At 40.9% G+C, this 14,780-nt stretch overlaps 1 long non-coding RNA gene across 1 annotated transcript in view; it reads left to right on the top strand.

The window, feature by feature from the left end:
* Nucleotides 1-14,780, top strand: part of LRRC52-AS1 (LRRC52 antisense RNA 1) — a 105,314-nt gene that overhangs the window by 67,416 nt on the left and 23,118 nt on the right. The window contains exon 5 of the long non-coding RNA NR_026744.2: nucleotides 13,113-13,309. This is a non-coding gene — a long non-coding RNA (LRRC52 antisense RNA 1). The remainder of the gene's footprint in view (nucleotides 1-13,112; nucleotides 13,310-14,780) is intronic.

Genomic DNA, 14,780 nt, shown 5'->3' with positions numbered 1-14,780 from the left:
CTAGAAAATCAGAAATGGCAATTGTACCTACGTAGACAAAAGTATGAACACCTTTCACCTTGCTCACCCAGGAGATAGGATAAACATAAAACACAAATATAAGAATTCCATTAAATTTAATAAAGACTTATTGAGTACCTCCCCTGAGCAAGGCCTAGGGCTGGATACTCTATCAAAATTACCTGTAGAGTTCGATAAAAACAGATTTCTGAGCTCCACTTCTCAGAGATTCTGATTCTGTACTGGGCCCCAAGTTCTGTGTCTAATAAGAAACTCCAGGTGATGCTGATATAACTGGTCAGGGACAAGCTGGCATGCACAACTGGAGGGTAATATTTCCCGACTTTCAATGCGCATATGAATCACCAGTGGATCTGGTTAAAATTCAGAATCTAATTCATTAAGTAGGTCTGGGATGGAGCCAGAAAGTCTGCTTTTCTGATAAGCTTCTAGGTGGTGCTGATTTGCTATTCTGAGGGCCACCTTTTGAGTGGCAAGGCTGTAAGGGATGAAGGTGAAGGATAGGGAAGGCCTGGTTCCTTCTTAAGGAGCTTACTGTCAAATGCAGAGAGACCTGAATACAGCTGACTAGGTCAAGGCGAAGTGGGCTAACTGTCCCAATCAAGACCCAAAGATGGTATGGATGGAGAACTCTCCTCAGCCCTGTGGTTCATTCCATGTTCATAAGGAGAGATCCAGGAAAAATGGTGTATGTAGTATTTGTTACACCATTTAGCAAGATGGGAGAATGTATTACATGTTTGACACGTATTTCCATCCCAACTGGTTAATATCTTCAGAAAAAGAAAATCAGCGCTAAAGAAGTACGCCCTGGAAAAGCAAACATCATATGTGCTTACTCATATGTGGGAGTTAAGCTATGAGGACACAAAGGCATAAGAATGATACATTGGACTTTGGGGACTCGGGGGAAATGGTGGGCAGTGGCAAGAGATAAAAGACTACTCTTTGGGTACAGGGTACACTGCTTGGGTGATGGGTGCACCAAAAATCTTAGAAATCACCACTAAAGAACTTATTCATGTGGCCAAATACTACCTGTTTCCCAAAAAACTATTGAAATAAAAAAACCTGAAGATTAAAAAAAAGGGGTAAGCCCTAATTTTCCAGAAAATTCACTGATGTGGAAAACTTCATTTCCCAATAATGCTGGGTAAATCTGTGTTTTGTAGGATGTTCCATATGTTATCGGTGCTTATGAATTGTTTAGTTTTATTATCCTCATTAACAGGGATAATGGTTGCTTTTTAACAATCATGATCACCATCTGGAGCCTGGAAAAGCATAGTTTGAGGCTCAGGTAGAAAGACGAGACTGTCCTGACTGGGTCTCAGCCCATTTCCCCGCTGCCAAGCCCTGTGTGTGCCCATGTGCTTGGCTGCCAGGCATGGCAAGAACCACACTGATGGATGTGGCGTTAGTTCAAGCAAAACTGAACAAAATTCAGAGAGTGCAGGGCACATTGGCTTGACTGCTTAATCACATTCTAATCTTAAATATTCACAAAGTAGCTTTCCATGTGTGCTCCCCTCACAGCCCCGGTGACCCCTAACTTTGCTGTTGACATTGTGACAAGCAGACGATGTGACTAAGTCACTGCTCCCCCGGCTCTTGGGGTGAATTGGGTTTAAGCATCTTCTCTGTGCTTCACAGAGAAGTGTTGCCTTGTTGGGAGGAGGTGGCTAGACAACCAAGCTGCCAGGTAACCATAGCAACCATGCACGCCTGCCCTTGTGAGTTTTTTAGGACTCTTCTCCGGACCTTTCCCAGACCTCTATTTTCAAGCTCTCTCAACCTGCAAGAAAGCAGCATCTGAGATCAACTCAGCCCTAACATACAGGGGCAATTAGGGAGTGCAGATCGGCAGCCTTTTCCTGGAACCTAAACAGTTAGCACCCCATGGGCTAAGGGGAGAAGCTGGAAGAACAGGGAAAGTGATGAGGACAGAGTCCATAAGGGAAATAAAAGAGCAGCTTTTGATAGACTCGAAACAGGGGAGGGTAGGATGCTTACATTCAAGAATGCACTGGACCCACTCTAAGGAAATGTATCTAAAAGTTTGCTGGAGATACAGCCAGTAGGTAGATTGGTCAGGATGGTTTTCTAGAGGAGAGTTTCTAGCAGGATTCTGGGGGCCAAAAAGAGGGCTTCAGGGGTAGGGATGGCAGGGAAGAATACTGCGAGGCAGAGCAAATGGAACAGGGTGTTGGGCACCTATGGCTGGGGCTTGCAAACCTAATTCACCATCGTAAATCCAGCCGATTCCAGGGAGTGAGACAGAGAAATCAAGCTTCCCCAGGTTCTGCTTTTCCCGAAACTCCAGTCTTTCTGTCTGCCGCTCTCCAACTCACCCTTCACAGCATCCTCTTCCTTGACTGTTGCTTCCAAAATGTCAGTGTCATTCGATCAACTGGTATCAATTTGAAAGAAACTGGGACACATGTTGACTGTATTGATGCTTAAGACACTGTTAGGGGTCAGCCAAATCAACCCCTTTGGTTTCTTGACCATTTCTCTGATCCCATGTAAACACCGTGAATGTTTACAAGAAAGAAAGTCGGAGGATGTGCATTCTAGCTGCCCCTCACTTCACCTCCCCATCGTCTCCTACAAACAGATGTATCATTGGAGATGGAGTGGACTACTACATCTTAAGTATAAGGAATATTTCACCATAGAGGGAATGAATAATGGTGTTACTTCCTCCACCCCACTTTTTCGCAACAAGTCGGGGGTGATATTTTACATTTAAAAATAAAAATATTCTACTTGATCACTTTCAGAAGCTTTTGAGCCATTGATCTGTATTTCTCAACATCTATCTTTGAATAGGTCCAGGTTAAGAGTTAGATCTTCTGCGGCATCTAAAAAGAGTGAGAAATAATGACTTAAGCTCCATAGCATTTTAAGACTAGCTATTTTCTCTTTTTGACTTTTTTTAATGCTCTTTTAAGTAGCTCACCTACTGTATTAGTGAATTAGTGCTTCTATGACAACATATCTGAGACTTAGGGAATTTATAAAGAACAGAAATGTTCGATGTCTTGTGGGGGTCTGGTCTCTGCTTCCAAGATGGTGCCTTGTTGCTGTGTCCTCTGGAAGGCTGTTTTCTAGCACAGTGGAAAGGTGGAAGGGCCAAGAGGGCCTAGCTAGTTCCTTGCAGCCCTTTTATAACGTTACTAATCCCACCCATGAGAGCTCCATCTTCATGATTTAATCATCTCCTAAAGGCCCCACCTCTTAATACCATCACAATGGAATTTAAGTTCCAACATATGAATTTTGGAGAGAGACATACATTCAAACCACAGCACCTACCTAGCATATTTCAGTGTTCCGTAGCCAAGTTTTAATGTTTCGCTGATTGCTGCCAATCTACCACTCCAAGGGATTGGTATCATTACAAGTTTTAACTTTTCCTAAGGCTAGATTTTCTCAGTGGCAATTCAAATGAGATTGGCCATATCTATGGTCCATAGGTAAGCCAGACCTAGGCTGTGAGATTAAGGCATATTGACTAGTTGTTTGGTTTATTTTAGTGGCAAAGCCGTGTCTCTCTTCAGGATTGCTGTAGCTGTCTTCTGCGCTCAGGAGATGCCGCTTTGATTGCATACTAACAGAGTCAACTGAATATAGGACTCAGACTCTGGCACACTCCGCTGCATGCAAAAATGAGTATTTGGTTATGTATGTCTTAACAACATGGCTTTATGACAGGAGTAAAACCCACATTGGTAAAGTACTATACTTTTTTATGGACCCCAAACTGCTGGACTGTTTAGGGTAGAAACATGCAGCCAGATTTTTATTATTCGTTGTTTGGGTGATACATACATCATATTAGACCTACCTCATGTTGCATTTGGCTTTGACTGGGTGAGATCACTATCCTGCCCTCTGAAGCTAGAGGGTGACTGTGATGTTTTCTCATGGACTCTACATAATAACTCTTCTGTAATTTATTGGGTGATATTGGACACTGGGCTTAGCATCTCTGGGACCTGCTTTCCTCAGCTCTGAAATGAGGGGAGAAGAGGTAGAGGGAATTGAACTAGATGATAATTAACACCCCTTCTGGCTTTAACCTTCTGTAACACTCCTGAGCGCTGGGCAAGGCTCAAGTTTTAATTATAGAAATGCCCGTGAGCACTTTTCATCATAAGCTTTAGTACCATCCTCTGTGGCTGTGGCTAAAAGTGATCCCTTCTGTGGTAGGGGCTTTGGGCACATGTCCAGATGCCTAATTGGAATGTGCAAGGCCACGAAGTACCCAGGACACAGCATAAGAGGCAGGAAGGAAGCTCCTTGAGTGGAGGGGTGATCTGTATCTGAAAAGATTAAGTGCAGCTATATACAATGAAAAACCTAAAATAACTGTCTTAAAGCAGTGGTTCTTAAAGTGTGATTCCCTAACCAGTGGCATTAGCCTGACTTGGGAGCTCATTTGAGATATAAAATCCCAGGCCTCATAAGAATGATGTAATGGACTTTGGAGACTTGTGGGGAAGGGTTGGAGGGGGATGAGGGATAAAAACCACACATTGGGTACAGTGTACACTGCCCAGTTGATGGGTGCACCAATATCTCAGAAATCACCACTAAAGAATTTATCCATGTAACCAAAACCACCTGTTCCCCAAAAACTATTGAAATGAAATAAAATTAAATTAAAAAATAAAATACCAGGCTTCCCCACCATACCTGATGAATCAGAAATTGGAGCCCAGAAATCTGTGTTTTAAAAAGTCTCCCAAGTGATTCTGATGCACACTCAAGTTTGAGAACCACTGTCCTTTTATCGTGGAAAAAGAAGCCTAGAAGAAGACCATCCTGGGCTGACTGAATGTTACCAGGAAACCAAACCACTCAAATCTGCTTTATCAGACTCAGGTCTGAATGACTTTGACTTTCTCCCCCAAATAAAATCCACTCTTAAAGCAAAACATTGAACAGCCATTGAGGACATTTAAGATAATTTGGTTCACCTATTGAAAATAATTCCCAAATATGAATTCTAAAAATATTTTGACAACAACACCATCATTGGGCTAAATGCTTCCTAAGAAGATATACCACTCACATAGATAGACAGTCGTTGGTATATTTATTTGAAAATTAACCTCATTAATTCATGGTCATATATCTTAACAATACAATAGAATTATAAGGCCATGTCTTATGATCCTTTTGTATCTCCCTCATAACATGTTACTGATCACAGAGTAAGCTTTCAATAAATATTGAATTAAACTGATGACTGTTATAGAGACCTAGGCAAAACACAGGTTGGGCAAGATAAAATCAAGAATCAAAATTCTGGATAACAAAATCGGTGCAGATAGCAACTGAAAAAGCTTCATAATTTTAAATATTTGGTTCTCAATAGTAGATATATATTTTTTCAATATAGTTTGGGTTGTATTGATTCGAACAGTGTACTGGGAGCTGAGAACCAAATTTTACCTTATCTCTGCCTCTAAAATTAGGCAAGTTACATAATTCACTTTGTATCTCATTTTCCTTTTCTTATGGGCAAGGAACTCTTACAAATACAGGGATTGGACAAGAAGAACTAGTCCATGAATGCTTTCTTCTCCTGAGGGAATATGTATATGGAGCCTACCATTAGGAGAGAATGGGTCAGTAGCACAGTTAAGGCACACCAGGTACTCCTCCCTGATTCTACACTCCTTCAGATGAAGTCACTTTCTATCAGGTCAGACATAGTTGTGCACACCCATAATCCCAGCATTTTGGGAAGCTGAGGTGGGAGAATCACTTGAGGCCAGGAGTTCAAGACCAGCGTGGGTAACATAGCAAGACCTCATCTCTACAAAATAATAATAATAATACAATTTTAAATAGTAGGAAAGAAGAAAAGAAATTACTTTCCATTGGTCTCTGTGAATCTATAGGTGGGAGAATCACTGAGTGAGTCTGAGGACAGAGAATGACACAGTGAGTTTTCATTTCTAATTTAACTCAGAAGTCTTAATAGCTTAGAACATTGAAGTAACTTCTTTTAATTTTCACACATAGCTGTGGTTTCCAAGAGAGAACATCAATGTTTTTGACCAACTCGTAATTTCAAAGACTGGAAAAACCATGCTTATATGCGCAGCCTCTTTTCTGAGGAACAGACTAGAGGATGTTTGTTTATGCCAGCAGAAAGCAAAGCCACTTCTAGATCAGATCACCTGCTGCTGACAGTCAGATCAAATCAACAGCACTGAATGAGCTCCTCCCAGGGACAGTGCAGGTACTCCAGAAGACATGAAAGTGGTGTGGCTGATACTGCAGGTTGTCTACTCAGCATTCATTCTCTTATTCCCAATCAACAGAGCTCCTGTATCACTGAGGGCAGCAATGTGCCCACTTAAAAACTACATTTCTTAGATTCCCTTGCACCTGTATGTAGCCTCGTGACTACATTTTGGTCATTGAAATCCAAATGCAAACTTTATACGGATCTCCAGGAAGGCTCTTTAAAGGGAGGTGACTCTGCTGAAAGTGTGCCTATTTTGACTTTTTTCTGTTATCTATCCAGCTGCCTGGAATTTGAATGTGGTATCTGGAGCTTCAGTAGTCATCCAGGACTGTAAGTGTGAAAGCCATGCACTGAGAGTGGTGGAACAGAAGGTGAGAAGGAATCTTAGTCTCTGTATACGTTGCCTTCTTCTTCGTGTGTGGTTTTTTGTTTGTTTGTTTGTTTTTGTTTTTGTTTTTCGTTTTTTTGTAGGGGAAAAACTTTTTTATGTTTAAGTCTCAGTTATTTTGGGCATTCCATTATATGCTACTATACCTAATCCCAGTTAATACAGGTGGTCCCTGTTCTTAGGGACCTTTGTGCCTCTGGTTACTGGTACATTCCAGGGACATGCATCCCTACCACAGAGTTTATCATTTTTCAATCAGAGCAATGGAAGATGAATCCAAAGCCTGAGACAGAATGACTCAGCAGATATTAGGACCTGAGGCTTCCCTATCACCAGTGAAATGGTCACAGAATGTTAGAAATGGAAGGGATGTTCATGATGACCTGGTTTAGTTCCCCCCACCCTACCTGCCCCTCTACATTTCAGAGATGAGGAGACTGAAGCCCAGAGACACTAAATGGAGTGTCCCAGATGACTCAATACATTGTAGGAGGGTTCTGACGTAGAATCCATGGGAAAGTATTCTCCTTCCCATCAGTAGAAGACTCTTTCCATCAGTAAAGGGGAGCAGCATGGCCTCACCCAATAAGGACCAAATACTAACATGAGGGCTAGCGTGTTATAGAAGGTCTGTGTATCAGGCCTGGTTTCCTGGTGTGGTTTTAAACTAACTCTCAAAGTTAGTTCAGATGAAAGCTCTCAAAATGTTTTAGCAATGATTTGTTCATGTATCTTTTAACCTCATTCTATCCCCACTGTTGAGAGGTTATTGCAGTGAGAGCTAAAAAAATTTTGACTGACACACAGAAAGTCATATGAAAGTTTTATAGGCTTCATATTAAAACAGATTTCTGGGAATCGGATCTTTCAAATTAGTCTCCAAGTGAATGAGTATGTGGGGTAGGTTCAGATATATGCATTACCCATGGGAAAAAGGGCGGCTACAAAACAAGGCGATTTTGCAGCAAATATGTCAATGAGCCCATCCTCAGAGGGACAGATTAGTGGAGTATTAGGAGCTTTAGGGCTAGAGGTGGTGGTAGATAAAAGATGATTATAAGGTAGGTGGAACCAAGAAAATAGAAGAGTATAGGTGGCAGGTGTGGTTTTTGCACAAGTTTTCTATAACTCAAGAGTAAGCATTGATCTTAGCATGGAGGGTCTAAATTTTATTACTATTTTGGTAATGTCTTTTTACCTAATATTAAATCCCATTCAGCTGCTGGTAAAATACAACCTGCTGAATAGGGAGCCCACCCAACTTGAACCTATGAATGCACTCCGAATACCATGTTGTAGAAGGACCTTAATTATAGAGAACATCTACAAATATCACTTTGTTTACATGTGGTTAGTGATGGCCTTAAAATGCTCTGGGCTCTTGAGTGTCTCCCCGACCACCCACAGCCCAGGACCTGCTGAATCCAAGTGGTTTCTTGCTTCTGCTCCTGTTCCAGGACCTTCTCCAGTTTGGGAATTTCTCCGATCTTTGATAGCAGGTGTCTCTGGAGTCTTCTGCTTTCTCCTTATGACACTAGAGCACTTTCCACAACTTGTCTCTTTTTTCACCATTTCTATATTTGCTCCTCCTGAAATCTCCTCACCCCAACCAAAAGCCAGAATGCAGAGCTCCTGTTGATAAATATGCAGTATCCCACAGTACTTCACATTTGCAAGTCTTGGGGAATCTTTTGAAGACTTGGAGTTGAAGGGTTGTATAATTTTTTTTTCCATTGCTGATTTATTCTACAGAGACAGATCAAGTTCAGTATCTGGTACATGTACAATGGAGAATTCAGAGAAATCATCAGGGGTTACTGGGGCTTGGAATGAAAGCTTGGACCACTGAATCAACAACTCTGCTTTAAGCATGAAGTGGAGACAGGATTACATAGGTGGTAATCTCTCTGTGTTTATCTGGATTTCAGCTGCAGAATGCAGCTAAGGAAATAGGTATAGGCTTGGTTCTTTGGGTCTAAGTGCTCTCTTTGCACCTACACAGAAATTTTTAATTAGCTGCACTGGTCTCAATTGAAGTTGACCATCGATCCCAGCTTATAATTCCAACTAAAGGGGCATATAATAGGTTTATTATTTTATTTTACTTTTACAAACATACAGTAAAATTTACTTTTTGGGAGTGTAAAGTTTATGGATTTTAACACATGCATGGTCCTGTAACTACTACCACAAACAGGATACAGAACGATTCCAACACTACAATTTCCTCATGCTACTTTTTTTTGTTGTTTGTTTTTTTGTTTGTTTTTTTTTTTTTTTTTTTTTTTTAGGCAACTTCATTCTGTTGCCCAGGCTGGAGTGCGGTGGTGTGATCTTGGCTCACTGCAACCTCTACCTCCCGGGTTCAAGCAATTCTCCTGCCTCAGCCTGCCAAGTAGCTGGGACTACAGGTGTGCAACACCATGCCCGGCTAATTTTTTTTTGTATTTTTAGTAGAGATGGGGTTTCGCCATGTTGGCTAGGCTGGTCTCGAACACCTGACTTCAAGTGATTCACCCACCTTGGCCTCCCAAAGTTCTGGGATTACAGGCATGAGCCACACGTTTGGCCCATGGTAGTTTCTTTTAAAAACAGCTTTATTAGAGATATAATTCACATACCAAGGCCAGGCATGGTGGCTCAGATTGCTTGAGCTCAGGAGCCCTTCTCTTAAAAAAAAAAAAAATTGCCAGGCATAAGGGCACACACCTGTGGTCCCAGGTACTCAGAAGGCTGAAGTGGGAGGATTACTTGAGCTCGGGAGGCTGAGGCTGCAGTGAGCAGAGATTGTGCCACTGCACTCCAGCCTGGGAGACAGAACAAGACCTTATCTCATAATAATAATAATTCATATACCATATAATTCACCCATTTAGAATGTGCAATTCAATAGTTTTTAGTATATTCACAGGTATGCACAACCATCATCACAGTCAATTTTAGGACATTTTCATCATCACAAAGAGAAACTCTTTATCCTTTAGCTATCAATTACCTATCCTTTCACCCTCCCCCAGGACCTAAGAAACTAGTAATCTATTTTCTGTCTCTATAGATTTGCCTGTTCTGGACATTTCATATAAATGAAATTTTGTAACGGTTAGTCTTTTGTAACTGGCTTTCTTCACTTAACATATGCTTTCAAGTCTTATCCATGCTGTAGTATCTATTACAACTGCATTCCTTTTCATGACCAAATAATATTCCGCTGTGTAGAGATACAGCATATTGTTACTCATTCATGAGTTAATGGACACTTGAATTGTTTCCACCTTTGGCTATAGTGAATAGTACTGCTTTGAAGACTTGTCTACAAGTTTTTGTTTGAAGATCTGTTTTTGATTCTCTTGGGTATATACCTAGGAGTGGAATTGTTGGGTCATTTGGTACTTTTATGATTAACTTTGCGAGAAACTGGCAAACTGTTTTCCACAGTGGCTGCACCATTTTACATCCCCACCAGCAATGTATGAGGGTTCCTATTTCTCCACATTCTCACCAACACTTGTTATTATCTGTTTTTGTTTTGTTCTTTTGCTTATAGCCATCCTAGTGGGTGTAAAGTTACATGGTAGTGTTTTGAGTTCTAAGATTCTCACAGACTGGGAAGAAATGTGGAGAGATTTTTGTCCTTTTTTTTTTTGCCTGCTGCTGATCCAAACAGTAAAATATAAACCTTCAGAATGAGAGCTATAAAAAGTAATGGACAGAGAAAATACATCAAGGGGAATTGTCAAATAGGCACTGCCAGAGAAGGAGCAGAATGTTATGATGGGAAAATCATGAGTTCAACGTACTTTAAGTCAACACATGTAATTTATTCCCATGTGCCAGGCTCTGTGCTAGGCACTGAGGCCCTAAAACGAGTTAGACAGAACCAAGCCTTCAAAATTCTTATTGTATGGAGGGAGAGCAGAGAGTAGGGTTCTTCACATAGTCTAGGTATCAGAAGGGGCTTCCTGGGAGTGGAGGGATGAAAAATAAAGAAATTCTCATCAGATAATAAGGGCCTATAGCAGTATATGGGGAAAAAAAACTATGCTGAAATATTTGGGAAATATCCTCCGGATGGCCTACTTTTCTTTGGTCTTTGGGTAACAATCTTGATTAAAGTTTGGTTTCTTTCATTTCCCAGTCAGTAATTGGTGGGTACAATTCTTTCTGGAGGAAAATAAGTCATAACTAAGACCTTTGCAAATATTGCTAGCTTTTGCTTATTTGCACTGATTAAAGGGGAACATATAATTCAGGACAGGACCTATCTAAACAGAGTTCATATTTTGCTTTGGAATATGTGTTTTTCTCTTGCCTCCCAGATGTTGCTATGTCAAATGTTCTCGGAACTCACAGATCCAACTAAGTCATGAAGCCCTAGGAAACGGGGACTGTAGTCTCTCAGGATGATGTACTGGCCTAAGCAGAACAAGTTTCTTTTGACACTGCTTCTTGTTCACACCTTTCCCGTGGTGAGAAATAATAATTTGAGTTTTATATTTTCTGTCTAACTTCTGCTAGACAGGAAGAATCATCCAGAAACCTTTTGATCTATTTTAGATGTGTTAAAAATACCCAGAGATTACCTTTGCTACTCATTCCCTCCTGGTACCATAAAAACTTTTTGTCAAATTCATGAGAGGAAAATAAATTCCTTTGATGAGACTCTGTGGCTTTTTAAATAATCACCAATAACTTATTAATTCATGTCCCAAATGACAGCCTAGATATCATCATAAAATATACCCAAATATACACTAGACTAGCTTCCCAATGACTTGTTTCTGGGAGGCCACCAATGGAGAACTGACTCTAATCCCAAATAAATAATATACTAGTTGGTCAAAGTCAGGGCAGGTTCACATAAATACAATAAAACCTGAAATTTATTTGGGCTATTTATGGGGAATGAGCAACAAATTTTTATTAAATATTTCCTAAGTTGTAGAAAATAAGCATCCTTAGGTTTCTGGTTTGAATGAGTGATAATAGTAATTTGTAATTAGCACATGAGTTATATATTGGTTTTCTATTGCCCAGAACAAATTATCCCAAATTAAATGACTGAAGGCAACAAAACACATTTATGATCATACATGGTTTCTGGAAGTGGGTTAGCTGAGAGATTCTGGCTCGGGAACTCTCATGAGGCCGCAGTCATTTGCAATCTTGACTGGCACTGGAGGATCTGCTTCCAACATGGTGAACTTGCAAGGCTGAAAAATGGGTACCTCAATTCCTCTTCAGGTGGAACTCTCTATAGGGCTGCTTGGGTGTTCTCACAGCGTGGCAGCTAACTTCTCTCAGAACAAGTGGTCCAAGAGGGCAAGGTGAAAGCAGCAGTATCTTTTATGACCTAGTGTAGGAAGGCAGACATCATCACTTATGCCATCTTTTATTTGTCACACAGACCAATGCTGGTAGGATATAGGAAAGGACTACACTAGGGCATGAATACCCAGGAAAGGGGGATCACTGGGAGGCACCTTGGAGGCTGGCTACCAGAAGTTGTTAATAAGTAAATTGTAAATGAATCACTTAAAAAAAAAGAATTGGTTGAAGTACCTCTCTGTTCCTGCAATTAGTATCTGAATATTACTGTTTAAAGAATTCCAAATGAGTGAAGCCAGATTATAAAATTATTAGAACTCTTTTAGGGAGAAAAAGATTTATGATCAGAATCGGATGGATCATTAGTCCAGGGCTATGCAGGACCATCTGTAATTAGCTTGATTCTTCCTTCTGTTGCCATTGTGAGCATGGAGCACTGGGGTCTTCGTACCTCCCCAGATTCTCTGAAATACATAGCAGGCCTTCAACAGCTATTCCATGTCGTCTCTTGTGTTATTTCCATGAGGCTACTCAGTTTTCTTGGCCCCAGCACTTGTTTCCCACCATTTCCTTCTATAACTGGTTAGGTTCCCTAATGTCATGTCACACCCATGAGTAATCCTCAGATTATGTGCAATTCCCAGACCACTGGCTGTTTTCCCACTCTTTCTCTTTAATTCAAAGAAACCATTGGAATACCAGTAGGAGAGGAGTTATCACTCAGACAAACTCAACTCGGTTCTAATTTATATAAGTAAATAAAGCACATATATAAATAAGGCCTTTACAAACTTTCACACATTAACCACTGCTAGTAACACATTCCTTAACTCTGAGGTTGAGAGCCTCAGGAAGGACACCAATTTGGCGAGTCTGAGTTTGAAAACTGGGCTGACCTCCCAGTTCTTCCAGTTTCATGGCAGGCTTGCAAGCATGTGCCATGACTGGTAAGGTGAGCTGGGTGAGAGAGTATCTGTGTGATCCCTTCCTGTCCATCTAAACAGGTCCAGCTGTGGATATTGGCTTGCCACTCCAGAAGTTTCCTCAGCCTGTCCCCTGTTATCCTGTTTCAACTCACTACTTTTGTTCTTATGTCTCTTTATTCTCCAGCCCTGTTTTCTTTAGACGCTGACTCCTGCTGTCTACCAGATCCTCGTGGTACAATGACTGGTGTAGACTGGCTTGTTGAAGTCACTCTCTGGATCTGAGCAACGCTGGCTGAGCCGTGATGAAGTATTCCTATCCATCCACTATGCTTCACAGTGGGAATCTCTCACTGTTCATCACCGCTGCCCTAGCAGCCGCAGGTGAAGGATCACATACACTGATGATTGCATCACTGCTTCCAGGGGGAATAGTAGTAGTTTTCCCCTAGAAGCAGTAACACATCAGTACTTCTAGGGGAAAACATGTCAGTGACCATTAGTTAAGATCATTCTTGTAACTTTAATTCATAATTCTAAGAGTCAACATTTGTTCATTCAAGTCTTTTATTCATTTCTTAAATGAGAGTTTTTAGGTGGCGAGTTTTCTTCTCTCTCATTTAACAAATGAGAAAAACAAGCCTGGGAGAAGTTAAGCCACACAGCCACCAAGTTATGGGGACAGGATTAGAATCTCAGCCTCTGATACTTGGTTTAAATGGTTCTCATTATGCTACAAATGGCACAGAAAAATGTCAGAGTAGAGGATGTCACAGACCAAAACTAATGAATGGGTGATTTGATGAGAGTGCTTAATGATACACCTTTAAGAGTCATCTTTTGAGAAAAACTGGACTTTTTAAAAAAGGGATGATATGATGGCTTTCACTATGAGGATGTACTAATAGTCTTCAAGCATTAGGAAATGAAGTTCAAGTTAGCAAGGTAAGTTGGGTGGAAGGTTAGTGGCAAAAGTATCAGAATTACAAGGCATTTGGACAGAAGTGCAGTTGCAGTGCTTCATACACATACTTTGAAGTATGAATAGTGAAGAGCCAACTACTGGAAGTGTTTTTACTTCTCAAATATTTATTGCAACCTACTGTAGGTAAGGCAGTTGCCTTGATATGTAGGTCCCTGAAGGGTCTATATTTTGCAGAATATTATATCCTAGAGTGTGCTTTGAGAGCTACTCTAATAAATGTACTGTGAAACATTTTTTTGTATTTAACTTGGAGATGCTGTGGAGAACATTGTAGACCACATCATGTAGTATGCCTTTTAATGACAGGAATATTTTTTAGATCTCAGTGTGTCAAAGAGCTTCTAAGAAACTGTAAATCTTAGCACCTGTTGTGTTTCCTTCTTTGAGTTTGTCTTATGGTTTGCATCTTTGTGTACTAACTTTATCCTGTCTTTATCTTACAGAATCGCTTAGTTTGTATTTTATCTGTACTATGAGTTCCCCACCCACATATGTGTATTTTGTTGTTCTACATATCTCTGAAGTGACTCTGAAGTAAACGAATAAATGAATGAGCTTATAAGTTAACCTGGGGAGGCTGGCATGGTGGCTTACGCCTGTAGTCCCAGCACTTTGGGAGGCCGAGGTGGGTGGATCACCTGAGGCCAGGAGTTCGATACCAGCCTGGCCAACAAGGTGAAACCTCATCTCTACTAAAAATACAAAAATTAGCCAGGCGTGGTTGCGGGCACCTGTAATTCCAGCTACTTGGGAGGTTGAGGCAGGAGAATTGCTTGAACCTGGGAGGCGGAGGTTGTGGTGAGCCGAGATCCTGCCATTGCACTGCAGCCTGGGCAACAAGAATGAAACTCCGTCTCAATAAATAAATAA

This window comes from Homo sapiens, chromosome 1, assembly GCF_000001405.40.
Source record: "Homo sapiens chromosome 1, GRCh38.p14 Primary Assembly".
NCBI classification, from domain to species: Eukaryota; Metazoa; Chordata; class Mammalia; order Primates; family Hominidae; genus Homo; species Homo sapiens.
Note: the sequence above shows the minus strand (reverse complement) of the source record. Positions and strands in the feature narration are given on the sequence as shown.